At 40.5% G+C, this 17,859-nt stretch overlaps 1 protein-coding gene across 7 annotated transcripts in view, besides 2 other annotated features; it reads left to right on the top strand.

The window, feature by feature from the left end:
* Positions 1 to 17,156, top strand: part of PDLIM3 (PDZ and LIM domain 3) — a 34,848-nt gene extending 17,692 nt beyond the window's left edge. For 2 of the 7 annotated variants that reach the window (NM_001257963.2, NM_001257962.2), the window contains 4 exons: positions 3,479 to 3,546; positions 11,164 to 11,294; positions 13,230 to 13,341; positions 15,333 to 17,156. In NM_001257963.2, the coding sequence (NP_001244892.1) occupies positions 3,479 to 3,546; positions 11,164 to 11,294; positions 13,230 to 13,341; positions 15,333 to 15,522 (501 nt within the window). In that variant the 3' untranslated portion in view covers positions 15,523 to 17,156. Of the gene's footprint in view, positions 1 to 2,925; positions 3,114 to 3,478; positions 3,547 to 9,253; positions 9,518 to 11,163; positions 11,295 to 13,229; positions 13,342 to 15,332 lie in introns of those variants that run through there. The other 5 variants (NM_014476.6, NM_001114107.5, NR_047562.2 and 2 more) reach the window with 5 other exon arrangements.
* Positions 2,929 to 4,128: an enhancer, noted in NCBI's record as "BRD4-independent group 4 enhancer chr4:186434842-186436041 (GRCh37/hg19 assembly coordinates)". NCBI's record gives its function as "activates an origin of replication core promoter dependent on BRD2, P300/CBP, MED14 and CDK7 cofactors, and independent of BRD4, by STARR-seq in HCT116 cells {active_cell/tissue: HCT116}" and the evidence as "EXISTENCE:reporter gene assay evidence [ECO:0000049][PMID:35650434]".
* Positions 15,016 to 15,515: an enhancer, noted in NCBI's record as "H3K4me1 hESC enhancer chr4:186423455-186423954 (GRCh37/hg19 assembly coordinates)". NCBI's record gives its function as "activates a minimal SCP1, AML or CMV promoter by ChIP-STARR-seq in naive H9 embryonic stem cells {active_cell/tissue: H9 hESC(naive)}" and the evidence as "EXISTENCE:reporter gene assay evidence [ECO:0000049][PMID:30033119]".

Raw genomic sequence — 17,859 nt, 5'->3', positions numbered from 1 at the left:
GTGCTTTTTGGAATGACTCTAAAAGCCCATAAACTAATGCTTTGCAAAGCCTAAATAAAAATGTTTGCAGCCTGTATTAGAAACACTTCCTTTTATGATCTGAATGTAAAATAGAGGTTGTTGGTTTTTTTTTTTAACAAATTACACATTTGTGATCTTTGCAATATATGTGTAACCAAAACCGAAAATTGCAAAGAAATTGCTTGGAGCTGATTAACTTACATGCTGCTATTTAGAAATTCTACTAGAGATTATTAATGCACAAATATTTTCAGAGAAGTTGCCTTATTTACAGGACAACACTACCTATATTTAATTATCATCTTAAGGCTAAGAAGAAATAAGGGCAGAGGTATTTTCCATAAAGCCATTATATTATGTTAGTTTTTATTAATTCAATTCTATTTACAAAGACTTTAAGGCAGGCCTTACTTTCTTTAAAAAAAAAAAAAAAAAAAAAAAAAAAAAGCTAAGCTCCACAAAACTTAAGTGATTCAGTACTGCCTGATTCTTTAATTAGCCTGAGAGACTTGTAATCCACCAAAACTTAACTAGGCAGTTAGGCAATTAGTGTGCTGTCTTCTCTCATATCAAAAAGGCTTGAATCATGGCCATTGTCATTACTTACAATTATTTCTAGTTTTTCATGCCATAATAATGGCTAATTATACTGGTTAATCACAAAACTCAGCCAATCCAAATTCACTAATAAATCAGCTAAAACAATTAGATTGCACCATTTATAAATGTTTAGCTACACACATTTTCACAGGATCTAGGATTAGGCATTTTTCTAAAGCTACATTTGATGGTTTGGGTCATTCTACCTAAGAGCAGCTACAATAATGTTAATCAACTCCTTGGCTGTGAGCCATTATTATGAAGGAAAAAAGTTAAGTGAACAAGGTATCAGCGAACTCAATCACACTACAAAATCATAGACTAAATGGAATTCAACTCAGACCTTCTTTTTGGGTTCAGGAGGCTGTTAACATATGCTGTCCAAGGTTGGTGAGAGAAATGCTGTTCTTTACCCCATCACAGATTCTCAGATCCCCTGAGATTTGGGGTGGGTGGAGTCAAAGGCTCCTAGGCTAGGATTTGAAGCTGTACCCCATTGCCCTGGCATAATTTTTGTTTTTTTAAGTGAGCTTTGCCAATAGGCCTAGATAGTAGAAGAAGGAGTATACTCAGAAGAACTGAAAGAAAGCGTTTTGTAGCTGGGGTCCCTACAGGAAGTTGTTCATATTCTCAGGCACAAGAATCTTCTATGAAAAACTCTGGTCTTACACCTAGGGAAGAGAGACACTCTCTTTTCTTTCCTCCTCCTTTTTCTTCTTTTTGTTTTTGACAGTCTGTTTTCTAACAGAAAAGCATAACCCACAACTTATCTGAAATGAAAAGGAGAAAACTAAATATTACAGGATCTTTTAATGTTTTAAAGACGATAATCTCTTTCCAGTATTATTTCAAATAATTATATATGTTTGTACGATTTCAAATCTGGAACACTGGTGCCACATTCACGAAAGTAAATGAAGTTGATGTGAATGTGTAAGGGAAAATACTGTTAGAAAGATTTATCTTACTAATTCTGCCAAATAGAAAGATTTGGGACTGGGCGCGGTGGCTCATGCCTATAATCCCAGCACTCTGGGAGGCCGAGGCAAGTGGATCACCTGAGGTCAGGAGTTCGAGACCAGCCTGGCCAACGTGGTGAAACCCTGTCTCTACTAAAAATACAAAAATTATCTGGGTGTGGTGGCACACACCTGTAATCCCAGCTACTTGGGAGACTGAGGCAGGAGAATCACCTGAACCGGGGAGGCGGAGGTTTGAGTGAGCCGAGATTGCGCCATTGCATTCTAGCCTGGGCAACAAGAGTGAAACTCTGTCTCATAAATAAATAAATATTAAAAAAAAAGATTTGGAAAGAGAATCAGCTGACCTGTAATTGAGCATTCCCTTTTGGTTTTCTTCTGTTGCTTAGAAGAAAAAAGTTTTAAAGGCTTTACAAAATTATAAATCTGTACAAAAACTGGAAAACATGATTCCCACGTTAAAAAAAAAAATTATAGGATTTTAGATCATTCAGACATGTTTCAAACTCAGGGTTGAGGACTCTGCTGTTTGGTCCTTTTCCCAAGGAATAAAGTGAAAATCCTCCTGTGAACCATACACATTTTCTCTCTCTGAATTACTGACTTTAATCTTTTGGGGACTAGAGTAAACATGAAGAGGTCTTCAAACACACAACATGAAATCATTACAATAAAGGGAGGGGTTGTATATGTTATTCCCGCTTTCATAAAAAGAGTCTCTCACTTGTGTTTTCTAAAATTAAGATTATAGCTTAATCCAAGTTAAGAACTTTTTGTTAAAAGGTGTTTTCAAAAACGAGTTTTCACCTGGCTTAGTTTAAATGATTCAGTGTAGCTAATTATTCGTAAATGCTCATTCTCCTTGTTTTGTTCCCTCATGTCTCAAAATGGGGGAAAGTTTATCAATGTATCAATAGAAGAGAAACCATATGTAAATTCTACTTGAGAAAACGTTAAGTATATTTTTCAAGCCAAAAATCCCATTTCTGACACAAAATGTCTGTATTCAAATGAGTCATTAGAATTTCTTAAAGCTATAGATGAAGAAGTCAGGGGCAGATAAGAGGTGCAATGTTTAAATTATTTTATAATATGTTAAATAAGGTCAGTTCCTTTTCACCTTAACATTTGATCGGTGAATATAGCACATGTAAAGCTCAGAGAAAACCATGGAAAAGTTTATGGCTAACTCCTCCTCTAATCTTTCCGTCAATCTCGTCGTGGGTAAAGATGCCTTTATTAACAGTAGTGATGCTGTTGGTTTCGCTCACTAATGGCTTTCTTGTGCGCTGTGTGGCTGTGTATTTTGTCTGCCATTGTACAGGAATTCAAACCCATTGGTACCGCGCACAACAGAAGGGCCCAGCCTTTTGTTGCAGCTGCAAACATTGATGACAAAAGACAGGTAGTGAGCGCTTCCTATAACTCGCCAATTGGGCTCTATTCAACTAGCAATATACAAGATGCGCTTCACGGACAGCTGCGGGGTCTCATTCCTAGCTCACCTCAAAAGTAAGTATCCGGCTCTGTTCTGGCCACAGTGTACCTAACAGTGATAGCATGGTTTCTTTTCTTTTCAAAAGTCCAGCTCTTGCTGTTTTATTTTTACTTTCCTGAAGGCACTATCAGATTTCTCTTTTAAAGACAAGCATCTAAAACATGTTCTAATTGTTGTGGGGTCCAATCCGCCAGTGCCTGACCGTTTAGCGGATAGATGGTTGGAAAGAAGACATCGTCCTGGTCCCGTCATCGCCTTTCTTAGTTATGACAGTAGTTGGTGGTAAATGATCCTCCCTGTACAACTATCGTTCGTTTAATCTTATCTGCAACAGTGTCCGCCTTCCACTGAGGGCCTTTTTAACGCTTTGTTTTCACAGGACGGGAACTACTTTGAACACAAGCATAATATTCGGCCCAAACCTTTCGTGATCCCGGGCCGAAGCAGGTCATAAGCGCTGAGACTGTGGAGTTTGCAGTGCATGCTTCTTAAATCAGTTCTTACTAATCATCAAGAAAAGTAACTGGTAGATGTTTGGAGTGGCTTTTCTCATTGCGAAGCTTATTTCAAAAGCAAAAAGAAACAAACTCACTTGGCAGAGAACAGAAGCCAAATAACTTGCATTTCCAAGAGTAAATATTGACAAGATGACAGAGCTGTGAAATTGTATGCAATCACCACGTGTATTTATAGCGAACACCCCTGAGGCTCTGGGGATCCCATCCAGAACACTGTGACCTTTGAGTCGGGCAGTCAGTATGTCTATCCCAGGTCAGGAAAGCCCTGCCAGCAGGAGCGAGCATGGAAACCAGCCCCGGTTAGGAGGAAGGAATCAGGTGAACAAGCCAGAATGATAAGGAGCAAGCTCTTCCTTCTCGTCTCTCAGTAGAGAAACTGATCATCTTCAGATCATCCTTTTCAAATATCTTCTCTAGAAATTGAACTCCAACCTAAGGGGAAAGAAAATAATGCCCTGTATTGCCAAATCAGGAAACAGTGACTTCAGGAAACCTCTGTTCCATCCTTCTGACCTCAGCTAAGCCAGTCAGCCCACAGGAAGGAAGCTGGTGGTTAGACCGGATTGATTCCGACAGGAACATTGAATATGATTTACCGCAGCTGTTGCAAACTGATGGCCCATAGGTGGATTTATTTCACAGGCATGTTTTATTTAATTCTTTTGTTTAAAAAAAAAAAAAGAATTTAAGTGCCTTTAGACAGAACATTTAAACTCACCATCTTGTCAAAATGCACATCACTCTTAAGTGTGTGAGACACGGCCCATTTTCATACATGTGTGACCTCCTGGCCCCTCTAGACACCCGAGCTTATGACTCCTGTCATAAGCTGCGGATAGCAGGTCATCCCTTATGTATGATTTCCATGTCCAGACCTTTCAGGAAGCTACAGGCAGAGCCAGGTGATTGTCTCAAAATATGCCAGACAATTCTTGTGATATCAGATCCAGAAAGGAGCCCTGGACCAGAGGAGCAGGAGAAAGGCGTTAAGAAGGCAACCATGAGCAAACACATCTTCCCCCCCCTAGAACGTGAGCTCAGTGTCTGCAGGGGCCTGGTCTGACTGGCTCAACATTATACCCCCAGCACCTAGAAATGAGACAGAATAAATGCTCAATAAGCGACCATCTACAAACAGACAAAATAAATGCCCAATAAATGCTCACTGGATAAAGGAATCAAATCCTGAGGGTGCACAACATTTCCCAAGCAAGTGGCAAGAAGAGTCCAGAGCCGTCTCGCTCCCGATGCTGGCAGCTCTGTGTCCTCTCCTGCTTCTCTCTATGTGTTCCCTCGTTCATACTCTGTTCTCATCTGCATCTTTTCCGTTTCTCCACTTTCAACAGCTTCCCCACCCCAACCCAACCCCAATAACAAAACACTGGATTTAAAGTTAAAAGGATATGATATTTTACTGTTGAATATATACAACTTCCCAAAGAAGCATAGTAAAATTAATCACTTGCATTCTTTTCAGGTTAGTGTGACTGAGTCCACCCACACAAGCTCTGGGGCTTCAGAAGGCTTGAATAAAGTGATACGTTAGAGTAACACATATCCTGCCTTTACTAAAAACCTATAACATTTAATTTTATAAAAAGTCAGGAAAGTCAGAGAATCCTAGGTATATAATCACCTTTTAAAAAAATTTTTCATTTTAACTTAAACATAGGGATAATGGCAAGCCACTCATAATGTTGTCATTTGAAGATCACACCTTTTAATGTAGCTGAATTTGGAAGAGAGAAGGAGAGAAACAGAAATGAGAAGGTTTGCTTAAAAAACAGATGCCAGTGCACAAATCTTAAAGAATTATAAGGCCTGGTGCGATGGCTCACACCTGTAATCCCAGCACTTTGGGAGACAGAGGTGGGCGAATCACAAGGTCAGGAGTTCGAGACCATCCTGGCCAACATGGTGTAACCCCATGTCTACCAAAAATACAAAAAATTAGCTGGGCATGGTGGCGGGCACCTGTAATCCCAGCTACTGGGGAGGCTGAGGCAGGAGAATCGCCTGAGCCTGGGAGGCGGAGGTTGTAGTGAGCTGAGATCATGCCACTGCAACAAGCGTGAGACTCCATCTCAAAAAAAAAAAAAAAAAAAGAATTATAAGAGTGCCCCCAACATCCTCCTTCTCTTCCTGTCCCTCCTCACTATTTGCTATAACTTCTGAATTTTTTGTTCCCACCAAACTATTCTTCATCAAGGTGGAATTGTGAGTGGCTGCATACCAGCCTACAACTAGATTTGTTTTTAACTTTTAAAACAAATGTAGTTTTTTTCGGGTGCATTCTACTTGTACATGTTTATGGGGTACGTGTGCTGTTTTGATATATGCATACAATATGTAATGATCAAATCAGGGTAATTGGGGGTATCCATCACCTCGAGCAGTAACTTTCTTTGTGCTTTGGAACATTCCACATCCACTCCTCTAGTTATTTTGAAATATACAAATAATTGTTGTTAACTATAGTCACCCTGTAACTACACTGTTAATGAACTTCTTTAATCAAAAGTAAGTTGGACATGCTAGTGCTGGACATGGCGGCTCACACTTGTAGTCCCAGAACTTTGGGAGGCCCAGGTGAGCAGATCACCTGAGATCAGGAGTTTGAGACCAGCCTGGCCAACGTGATGAAACCCCATCTCTACTAAAAATAGAAAAATTAGCTGGGCATGGTGGCACATGCCTGTAATTGCAGCTATTCAGGAGGCTGAGGCATGAGAATCACTTGAAGCTGGAGGCAGAGGTTGCGGTGAGCCAAGATTGCACCACTGCACTCCAGATGGGTAACAGAGTGAGACTGTCTCAAAAAAAAAAAAAAGTAGTAAGTTGGACATGCTAAATTGTTAACAGCTCAATTTCCCTGGGGTTTTACCATTAGCTATAGTTCTTTTGATTATTTCATCATAACTGAAGCCTTTTAAAAGACTGGTGTTTTCATATACAAATATGTAAAATTTTTAAGGGTAAAGCTACAATTAAATACATATGTAAGGTATTTTAGATCCAAATGATAAAATGCAATCCTATGAGTGGTTTTTGGACAAGTTGCTTCCGGAAGTATGCCCCAAAATGTCTGTACACACCCCAGAGAAATTAGCAATCTGTCAAATGACGTATCTGGGCATGAAGTAATTGAGTGTGTTATCAACCTTACAAGTGGCCTTGCCAAGTCACTAAGTCAACCCCAGAAAATCTCATTAGCACCTGCCTTTCCAGGTCATCAGGAACAGGTCGTGGTGACCCACGGTGCTATCCCCAGTGATATCCACAGTGACTGGAATCCATGAAAACTCGTTTACTTAAAGGATCAGTTTAAAAGATCTTTTTAAATTGGCCCAGAAATTTATAAAAGTTCATTCTTGTTTGCTTAGGGTTCATTACTCATTTATTTAATAGACATGGGCCTGATTGATAAAGGAACTGGGAATGCATGTTTAACTAAAATTACATAGTACACACATATGCATATACTGTTGACCCTGAGAACACGGGTTTGAACTGTGCAAGTTCACTTATATGTGGATTTTTTTTCCAATAAATATGTTGGAAAAATTTTTGGAGATTTGCGACAATTTGAAAAAAGTCACTAATGGTAGCCTTGAAATATCAAAAAAATTAAGAAAAAGATTTGCCATGAATGTATACAATACACATAGGTAGTAGTCTATTTGTGTGCTAATAGACTGTTTATCTGTAAAACTTCGGTTCAACAGTAGGCTATTGGTAGTTAAGTTTTGGAGGAGTCAAAAGTTATACATGGCTTTTATAGCAGAAAAATATTACTAATAACCGCTATAAAACATGGCATAAGTAAAAGTTCTAAATTGATCATTGTTTATCTACCCAGTACGGGCACTATGTCTGGCACACAGTAGGGTGAGAGTAGTTATAAATGCTTGTTGAGTAGGTTCATTACTGGGAGGCCGAAGTCTCCCAGGATTTAACTCTGTGTTTCAAATCCCTAAACTGATTTCATAAGCTTCATTACACTCAGGTTAAATCCACATGATCCTGACTAAACTGCACTACAACTGAAAATGTACTCATATTCTTTTACCAGCTGAAGTCCATTTCAAGAGTCACTATAGATCGTACAAAAATGGTGAATAGGCCACTTGATATTTTGGTATGTGATCTAAACAATGTACAGATTGGGTTTTCAATAGGTTCTCAAAAGGCAGGAAGTGAAGGAGCAAGCTGGTATTCACCTGTCTGGTTTAGGTTATGTAGGTAGTTAAACTGGATAGCACAAGACAAAAAAAAAAAAATTTAAACCCATTTAGTGACATGAGTTCTCCAGACTAATCCGGCTGCAACATTGCTGGAGTAGAGAAAGTTACTGCTCAATACCTTTTGGTTTCTTATCTTTATATGGGCTGAAGTTAGCATTAATACCTCTAGAGAGTAAATGCAGATATGGGGCCATACTTGAGACCAGAGACAATCTTGACTTAGCGGTAAACACACCATATACATCCATTCTCTGTCTTGAGCTTACAGCAACACTAACTGGAAAGTATGATAAATATTTACATTAATACTAATATTTCTTTTTGCTTTGTCTTAAATGACTATGCTTTTTTTACAAAAATCTCTTGGTATCTCTCATGCATGTGGAAAAATGGACTTTTTAGTCACTAGCATGTCAGTTGTTAACTGACCCCTATCCAGTTTCCAAATAGAATGTACAATCTCCCTAGTTCTTCGATGTGCATGACTGGCCTTTGATGTTTTAATAAGTCCCTGAAATGTATCTTTAAAAGGAAAAGGGAAATATGCCTGGGAATAGATGCGTGCTTCTGAAATTGTGCATAAAATAGCTATGTAAGAAATATAAGCATCGAAAGAGTGAAACACCACCTTATTTCTCCTCTAATCATTAATTTCAAGGTGATAAGCATTTATTGGTTTTTTCTAGGGCTTGTATTAAACCACTGAACAATTGTCTTAAAGTATACTCCTCACAGAACTAAAGAGTAAAAATAGAAAATGTTAAAATAGTAACAAAATATTTACAAGATAGCCTTAAAACATAATCTGTACCATAAAACCTACAAGTTACCAATTACTATTCAATTAAAGTTCAACCGTATTACTGAAATATACTTCTGATTTTGAAATGTTGAGCCCAAATATGTGATTGCATCTTCATGCTGCATATTCAGTGTTCACTAAAACTTTAATTTTAAATGTTGCACTTCAGAAATGTAAAAGGATGTCCAGCCAATGTAATTTTCCTTCATCACTTGTGATATTGACCAGTTTTAAAGTCTTTGGCCTATTTTTAAAAAGTGAGGATAGCTGCATCTTTTCTACTTCATATACAACTTTTCTACATGTAACCCTCAAATTACACATTGCCTAGTGAAACAGAGCCAAAAAATGCAGTATCACCTGTACCTTTTAATTTTATTAAACTTTTTTCAATCATGAATTTTTCACCGTCTTCCCTTTATAAATAAATTCTAGTGACAAATCAAGATTTGGTTTTATTTTGATGTAATTCACCTCTCACTTTTGTCTTCAATTCCTTTTAACCTCTCTGTACGTGTTCTCTGTGTTCTTCTGTCTGGACTGTCTGGCTCCCGGTGCCATCTCTGTGTAACGTGTATCCATTAACACAGTGGATGCAGCACTCCCTCCGGGATTGACTGTGGCAGTGGACGCAGCACCCCTTCTTCTGTCAGTACTGTTAGTACCATTTGCCCAGGTGACTTGAAAGTTGCGGCTAAGCTGGCCCCTAACATTCCTTTGGAAATGGAACTTCCTGGTGTGAAGATTGTACATGCTCAGTTTAATACACCTATGCAGTTGTACTCAGATGACAATATTATGGAAACACTCCAGGGTCAGGTTTCAACAGCCCTAGGGGAAACACCTTTGATGAGGTAATATGAGTCTCTTTGAACCATGGGCATATTAACTAAACACGTGGGCAATGTCAGCTTTACTGGTGTCTTTTAACATTGTCTTAATGGAAAGAAAGCTATGTGAAAAGCTTTTTTAAAATACTAAGGATTTACTGCAAATATCTAGGCTTGGAAAGAAAGCTATGTGAAAAGCTTTTTTAAAATACTAAGGATTTATTGCAAATATCTAGGCTTGGTGATAAAGGTGATTTGAGGAATTATCTGTAGAGCTTTATGTGTCAGATAGCAATAAAATGAAATCAGGTAAGGACCAAATGTATATGTCTCTCGAAAGCTACAATGTACTTTACAAATATCTGGTGTAATACTTCTCAAAGTTATTTATAATCTAGTATACCCTATGTCTGTCCTTTGGGGATCAAAAATTAGGAAGGAGGTGGGAGGTTTAGAGGAATTTTATGAGATGATTCTTCTCTCTTCTGATAGCAGCTTGTGGAGAGGTCATTATTTACTCATTTACAATGTTTATTGTGCATAAAGGTTTTTAGGTGAATACCCTCAGGCTGTTAATGTAGATATTTAATTTTTGCTGGTCTCTTTTTGACTAATTTTTTCTTTGTTATAACTATTTGTTCACAGTACTTTTGCCATAAAGATTTTGATTAAAAAGATTTATTATAGGATAAAATCTTACTGCTTCTTTCACTATTACAGAATCACTATTTATAAATTAAATTATTATAATGCTTCAGAGTGTTAAATAGTGATATCCCAAAGCTATCTCTTGGGATGAACACATTGAACTAATAGTAGTGTAAGATATCTCAAAGCCATTTGCAAATATGACATAGGGAATAAAAATATTACAGATAGTATGTTTTCTAGATAATGCAATAAAATGATATAAAATAATAAAGTAGTGCTTAACATATAGTATTATGAAATTCTTTATTGTCTATTATGAATATATTTGTAGAAAGCATGTTAAAGCTGCTGTCATTATTGTAAATGAATTTTAACATGGCTATTTTTAAAAGACAGTGCAGTCAGTTATAGCAGATATAAAAATGTAAGTTTCTACATTACAGGCTTTCAAACCCTGAGAGGTTAAATTTCTAGAATTTACAAGTAAAATGATACCCTTGTTATTTCCAGGGGTTAACAAATTAGCCTTAAAACTAAAAACATATTAAACCATATACTTTTTGTTTAATATCAAAAGTGAATGTGAATTTTACCGACAATTTGATGACTGAGAATAATCTGAGTGCTCACTGCTGCACTTTCTGTCATGTGTATATTGCCTTTTCTCTGGGAAAAGTTAATTTTGTTCACATCTATCATTATGTATCCATCAGACTCAAGTCTTGTTCTTCTTAATTACTATTTCCTGACAATTATCTTTTAGTTTCCTTCCAAAGTATTTTGCCAAGTGGAGGAGTGTGGGTGTGACTCCCCGATTTGTTGTTCAATGACATTTCCAAGGCAGCCATTTGAATTCACATTATGCTTTTAACTATACTAGAGATTCACTTGAAAATACTAGACCTCTGTTCAGGAGTGGCTGTGCATAGAGTAATGGCTGAGTATTGATGTCTCTGGCCTCTTGCACGTCTGGTGCCTCCCAGCACCTGACGATGCTCCCCGCCGTGCCTGTGTTTCAGCGAGCCCACAGCCTCGGTGCCCCCCGAGTCGGACGTGTACCGGATGCTCCACGACAATCGGAATGAGCCCACACAGCCTCGCCAGTCGGGCTCCTTCAGAGTGCTCCAGGGAATGGTGGACGATGGCTCTGGTGAGCAGCCGCTGACACCTGCTGAAACGTATTGATAGAGGCCACTGCAGGGGGCGGGACGGGGACGACAGCAAACATACTGGGAATGAAAGTCTAAAACTTGGTTTTCATTGGGAGCCAAATGAATTTTTGCTCAGAAGGATAGGATATGGATGGTGCCTCGTTTAAAAAAGGAGATTCCAGGACATGTCCAAGTAGCCACCAAGTGAAGTCACAAAAGGACACCAAAGACAAATTGCATTAATGGTAGTCAAGGGCTAGCTCAGCTTACAAATCATGAGATATCATTTTAAATGAATGTTGTCAAACTTCTCAGCCTCCCCCCCACACTCTGGAGTATCACCATCATCAAAAACTAAACAATGCTCTAAAAACCCTTACTGTGTTCCATGTTCTGTGCAAAGTATTTTGCATACAGTATCATGTAATCCTCACAGGAACTTGGGGAGGTGAGCCTATTATTTGCCCTACTTAGCAAATGAGACGCTGAGAGATGGGCGGGTGGCCTTGTGAAAGGCCACATAGCCAGTGAGCCACAGACCTGGGTCTCCAGCCCACTCCCGTCATCTTCAGGGCTCCTGCCCTGACCTAGGCTTCTCCATGCCCAAAAGATATAGACTGTCCTTTAAAAGCCACACAAAAATGCAAAATGTCCCATTAGGGTGGCTATTGTGGCAGACATGGAGAATAACAAGTATTGGTGAGGATATGGAGAAATGGGAACCCTGTGCATTACTGATGGGAAGGTAACATAGAGCAACCCTGGGAGAGGATGGCAGCTCCTGGAAAAGTTAAACACAGAATTACCATGTGATCCAGCAACTCCACTCCTAGGAATATACCCCAAAACACTTGAAAGCAGGGACTCAAACAGATTCTTTATTTTTTTTTTTTTCTTTTTTGAGATGGAGTCTTGCTCTGTTGCCCAGGCTAGAGTGAGTGGCACAATCTTGGCTCACTGCAACCTCTGCCTCCCGGGTTCAAGTGATTCTTCTGCCTCAGCCTCCCAAGTAGATGGGATTACAGGCACCCACCACCGCGCCCGGCTAATTTTTGTATTTTTGGTAGAGACGGGGTTTTACCTCTTGGCCAGGCTGGTCTCGAACTCCTGACCTCGTGGTCCACCCGCCTCGGCCTCCCAGAGTGCTGGGATTACAGGCGTGAGCCACCACGCCCAGCCTGTATGCCAGCATTTATCTTATTCACAATAGCCCAAAGAGGGAAAACACCCAATGTCCATTGACTGATGAATGGATAAGCAAAATGTAGTATACACATACAATGAAATAGTATTCAGTCTTCAAAGAAATTAAATTCTGACACACGGCGCACCATGAATGAACTTTGCAAACATTATGTGAAGTGAAAGAAGCCAGACACAAAGAGGCAAATATTGTATGATTCCATTTATTTGAGAGATCCAGAATAGGCAAATCCAAGAGACAGAAAGTAGAATGAAAGTTACCAGGGGCTATGAGCAGGAGCACGGGGAGTTACTGTTTCATGGGTGGGGAGTTACTGTTTCATGGGTACAGAGGTTCTGTGAGGTGAAGAAATAGTTCTGGAGGTGGATATTGGCAGTGCTTGCACAACATTTTGGATGTACCTAATGTCATTGAATTGCACCCCTAACCATGGTGAAAATGGTAAATTTTATGTATATTTTGCTACAATAAAAAATAATAATGCCCTCTGCTCCTTTGAGCGTTTTTGTAACAGTTTCCTCCAACCACAACAAAATAAATGTTTTCACTAATTCCATTCTATAATGCCCTATTTCAGAACAGCGTCCCTTATGATTGCATCAGTCCTGCCCCTCTCGGAATGACGGTGCAGATGCAACTTCAGGTTAAAGTGCACACTTTAAAATAGAAGCCAAGCACAGGCTGCGGCCAGCTGTTCCCTAGCCATAAATGGAAACGCTTTGTTTTTCAGATGACCGTCCGGCTGGAACGCGGAGTGTGAGAGCTCCGGTGACGAAAGTCCATGGCGGTTCAGGCGGGGCACAGAGGATGCCGCTCTGTGACAAATGTGGGAGTGGCATAGTGTAAGTTTCACTTTTAACCCTGGAATTTACGATACAGCTTGGCGACAGTTCATTTCTTCTCCTTTAAGACTTTATAGACTAAAGGCAACTGTGAAAACCAAATTTCTATTCATCAACTTGAAACGTAAGGTCCCCAACATTTAGCACATTGTGACTGTCACTCCTTAGATATACCTCCAAATTGTCACATCACATGAGTCAGCAATTTTGACTTACAATTTCAGATAGATTCTCATGAAAAAAAAAAGATGCCCAAATGTATGTTGAAAAGTCACGTCTAAGAATCAAGACTTCACTTTAAACTCCCCCACCCCTGTTAACGTATAGTGTTTAGTAAATGCATACATGAACTGTGTATACATTTAGTATACATAGTATCCTCCTCTGTATAAACACAGGGAAACAAATACAGGCAACAGGATGTTACTTAAAATACATTATCCTTACCCAGTGTAAGTTACACAAATGTTGAAACAAAATATTGAAAAACTGTCAGCTTCCATTACAAGGGAACTTTTATTTATTCAGAGATAGAGCCCTGCTCTGTCACCCAGACTGGAGTGCAGTGGCGCAATCTTGGCTCACTGCAAGCTCCACCTCCCAGGTTCAAGCGATTCTCCTGCCTCAGCCTCCCCAGTAGCTGAGATTACAGGGACCCACCACCACACCTGGCTAATTTTTGTATTTTTGGTAGAGAGGGGGTTTCACCGTGTTGGCCAGGCAGGTCTCAAACTCCTGACCTCAGGTGATCCACCCGCCTCGGCCTCCCAAAGTGCTGGGATTACAAGTGTGAGCCACCGTGCCCGGCAGGGACCTTATGTTTAAATAGCCACACTTGCTAGTGCAGGATCAAGTCAACCAAGATAATTCTAACATCTCCATGGCATTCGTGCCATGTGGCCACGTCCCCATTCCCTTATTCCATTCCTCCTGCCATGAACTCACACACTGATGTGTCCTCTGTCCGGTTAGCCAGGATACATCCCAAGAAGGCAGTGGGGGATAAGCCTGGTTAGGGCAAAAGGAGGAACGTGAGACCAAAAGGTCAAAGCAGGGCAGGGAGCTCGGAGCAGAGAGGCCCTCAGTAAAATACAACAGTGCCTGACGTTACCAGAAGCAATCATTGTGCCTAAGTTGGAATAAACTGTTCACAGTAGAAGCCAATCCACCCACCCCAAAGGAATTCCATCTCTGCTGTTTGATCTGGTTTTTTGTTTTGTTTTGTTTTTGTTGTTATTGTTGTTGTTGTTTTTGAGACAGTCTCGCTCTGTCGCCCAGGCTGGAGTGCAGTGGCGCGATCTCGGCTCACTGCAACCTCCGCCTCCCGGGTTCACACCATTCTCCTGCCTCAGCCTCCCGAGTAGCTGGGACTACAGGTGCCCACGCCCGGCTAATTTTTTTGTATTTTTTTAGTAGAGATGGGGTTTCACCGTGTTAGCCAGGATGGTCTCGATCTCCTGACCTTGTGATCTGCCCGCCTTGGCCTCTCAAAGTGCTGGGATTTCAGGCGTGAGCCACCACGCCCGGTCGTCTTTGATCTGTTTTCTCTTGCTCCATTGAATAGAGGCTGGACCACGCAGACGGAAAGCAATCAGAGAGACTCTTCATTGGGTAGACAACCACCCCCGTCAAAAGCAGAATCTTTTGCAGAGGGGTTGGTCTTGTCTCCATCATGTCTCCCTCTTCAAAGAAACGATGGGGAAAGATCATGAAGTAGGATCCTACAAATTTTCTATAAAGTACTTGTTTGAAAATCTGAAAAATAGTCACACGTCAACATCAGAGAGAAACACGGGATGGTTTATTGTGGATATCCTAGATCTCCATGACAATTACATACAGTTTCACGGCTGTGCCTGCTTTCACAGCTGGAGGCCATTGTTTCCTGACTGTGAAATAGAGAACATCTGCCTTCTCTGTTGGGTTCTCTCCTTTGTCTCATATTTTTGCTCTGTGGTTTTTTAACTTGAGCTCGTTTTCTTCCCCAACAGCGGTGCTGTGGTGAAGGCGCGGGATAAGTACCGGCACCCTGAGTGCTTCGTGTGTGCCGACTGCAACCTCAACCTCAAGCAAAAGGGCTACTTCTTCATAGAAGGGGAGCTGTACTGCGAAACCCACGCAAGAGCCCGCACAAAGCCCCCAGAGGGCTATGACACGGTCACTCTGTATCCCAAAGCTTAAGTCTCTGCAGGCGTGGCACGCACGCACGCACCCACCCACGCGCACTTACACGAGAAGACATTCATGGCTTTGGGCAGAAGGATTGTGCAGATTGTCAACTCCAAATCTAAAGTCAAGGCTTTAGACCTTTATCCTATTGTTTATTGAGGAAAAGGAATGGGAGGCAAATGCCTGCTATGTGAAAAAAACATACACTTAGCTATGTTTTGCAACTCTTTTTGGGGCTAGCAATAATGATATTTAAAGCAATAATTTTTTGTATGTCATACTCCACAATTTACATGTATATTACAGCCATCAAACACATAAACATCAAGATATTTGAAGGACTCTAATTGTCTTTCCTTGACAAGTTGATTTTGCAATTGTGGTAAATAGCAAATAACAATCTTGTATTCTAACATAATCTGCAGTTGTCTGTATGTGTTTTAACTATTACAGTGCATGTTAGGGAGAAATTCCCTGAATTTCTTTAGTTTTGTATTCAAACAATTATGCCACTCGATGCAACAAACATAATAAATACATAAAAGATTTAAAAAATACCTAATGAAGTGGCATTCATTGAATTCAAATAAAATCAACATTTCAATGAGAGAACCCAATCATATTTTAACATGTACACTAACAAATATTTTAAGATAAATGTGGCTTCTTCAGGTTTTATAACTCATTACTCTTTCTTATGAGCACAAAATTTCTGATGATAGAAGCGTTGAAATTTGCTAGTTAAAGGTAGTTCAGTCTCTTTCAAATTAAAAGTTTCACTTGCTTCAACAGAGACTCTTTCAATTTAAATATCTCTTTCAGATCAATATTCAGTCAAATTGAAGGTTCAAAGTCCATCACTGCTGTTTCTTAGGCTCAATGGTTCACCACCTCCTCCTCTTCCCAAGATGGCATCTCCAGGAAGAAACAATTTAGACGACTTCCTAAGGAAGGCAGGGGCTGCTGGTCTCCTGGGGTCCTGCTTGTATCCACTGTTGAAATCCTTGGTTTCACTTGTGATCTGTGGTCTGTTTTCTTGACATAGTTGAGGCCAGGCAATAATAACACCTCCACTACCACCTCCAAAACTCTCAGCTCAGCTTTCCTGGAGTCATGGATCCTCTGTCTGAGACATGCACTCTGCCTGGCCCTGGCGCAGGCAGCCTACCTTGCAGGCTCTGCATGGCGTTACCTTGCCTCTCACCCAGGGTGCCCATGGCAATGCTCCTGACTTGCATCTCTCACCTACTTTCCATGTCCCCCACTGGGGACGTACAGGAACTTCTGAAACTGTCCCCTCAGGTTCAAACCATGGGGAACCAGCAGGGTGGGGACCCTCAGACCCTCTGTCTCACCACCTTGTGTCACATGGTCATCTCTACCACCCCTCAACCCCCACAGCTGCTAACTTCTGGCCTGAAACAAGTGTTCTCCTCCCATAAGGTCCCAAATGGGACACAAGTTTTATTGCTCTGGGATTCTTCCAAACTTAACTGACTCTGACCCTGACCTGTTCAGGATTTTGAGAGGAGCCAAAACACGTGCCTGGCCCCTGTAGGCATTTGACATTGCAACTCCTGTGCCAACACATGCATTCACTAACAAAGCTATTAAAAAAATAAAACAGACTTTTGAGATCAAAGAAATGAATGTATCCAAAATACATGTTTGTTCAACAGTCATTTTCAAACATTTTGTTCTGGGAAGGATATAAAGTTAAAGTTTAGAAAGCAAAGGAATGGTAACTGACTTTGAAAACCTGAGAAAGTTAAAACTCAAAGTAGCAATGGAGAAAACCATAAACCAACCCAATTTACTCTCTAGAATCTTAAAAAGGCATGGCAATGGGCAGCACCTGGCATTTCCGGACCCCAGGATAAAGGTACGACTACCATAAGGAAAGCTGAGTAGAAGCTGTTTCAGAAGCACTTAATCCCTAGAGCAGGGGTCCCCAGCCCCCACTGTGGCCTGATACCAGTCTGTGGCCTTTTAGCAACCAGGCCACGCAGCAGGAGGTGAGCGGCGGGCTGCCGAGCAAAGCTTCATCTGTATTTACAGCCGCTCCCCATTGCTCGCATTACCACCTGAGCTCCACCTCCTGTCGGATCAGAGGCAGCACTAGATTCTCAGAGGAGCATGAACCCTATGGTGAGCTGCACATGCAAGGGATCTAAACTGTGTGCTCCTTATGAGAATCGAATGCCTGATGATCTGTCACTGTCTCCATCACCCCTAGATGGGACCATCTAGTTGCAGGAAAACAAGCACAAGGCTCCTGCTGATTCTACATTATGGTGACTTATATAATTATTTCATTATATATTACAATGTAATCATAATAGAAATAAA

Source organism: Homo sapiens, chromosome 4 (assembly GCF_000001405.40).
Source record: "Homo sapiens chromosome 4, GRCh38.p14 Primary Assembly".
NCBI lineage: Eukaryota > Metazoa > Chordata > Mammalia > Primates > Hominidae > Homo > Homo sapiens.
The sequence above is the reverse complement of the archived record's forward strand: the minus strand, read 5'-3'. Positions and strand labels throughout refer to the sequence as shown.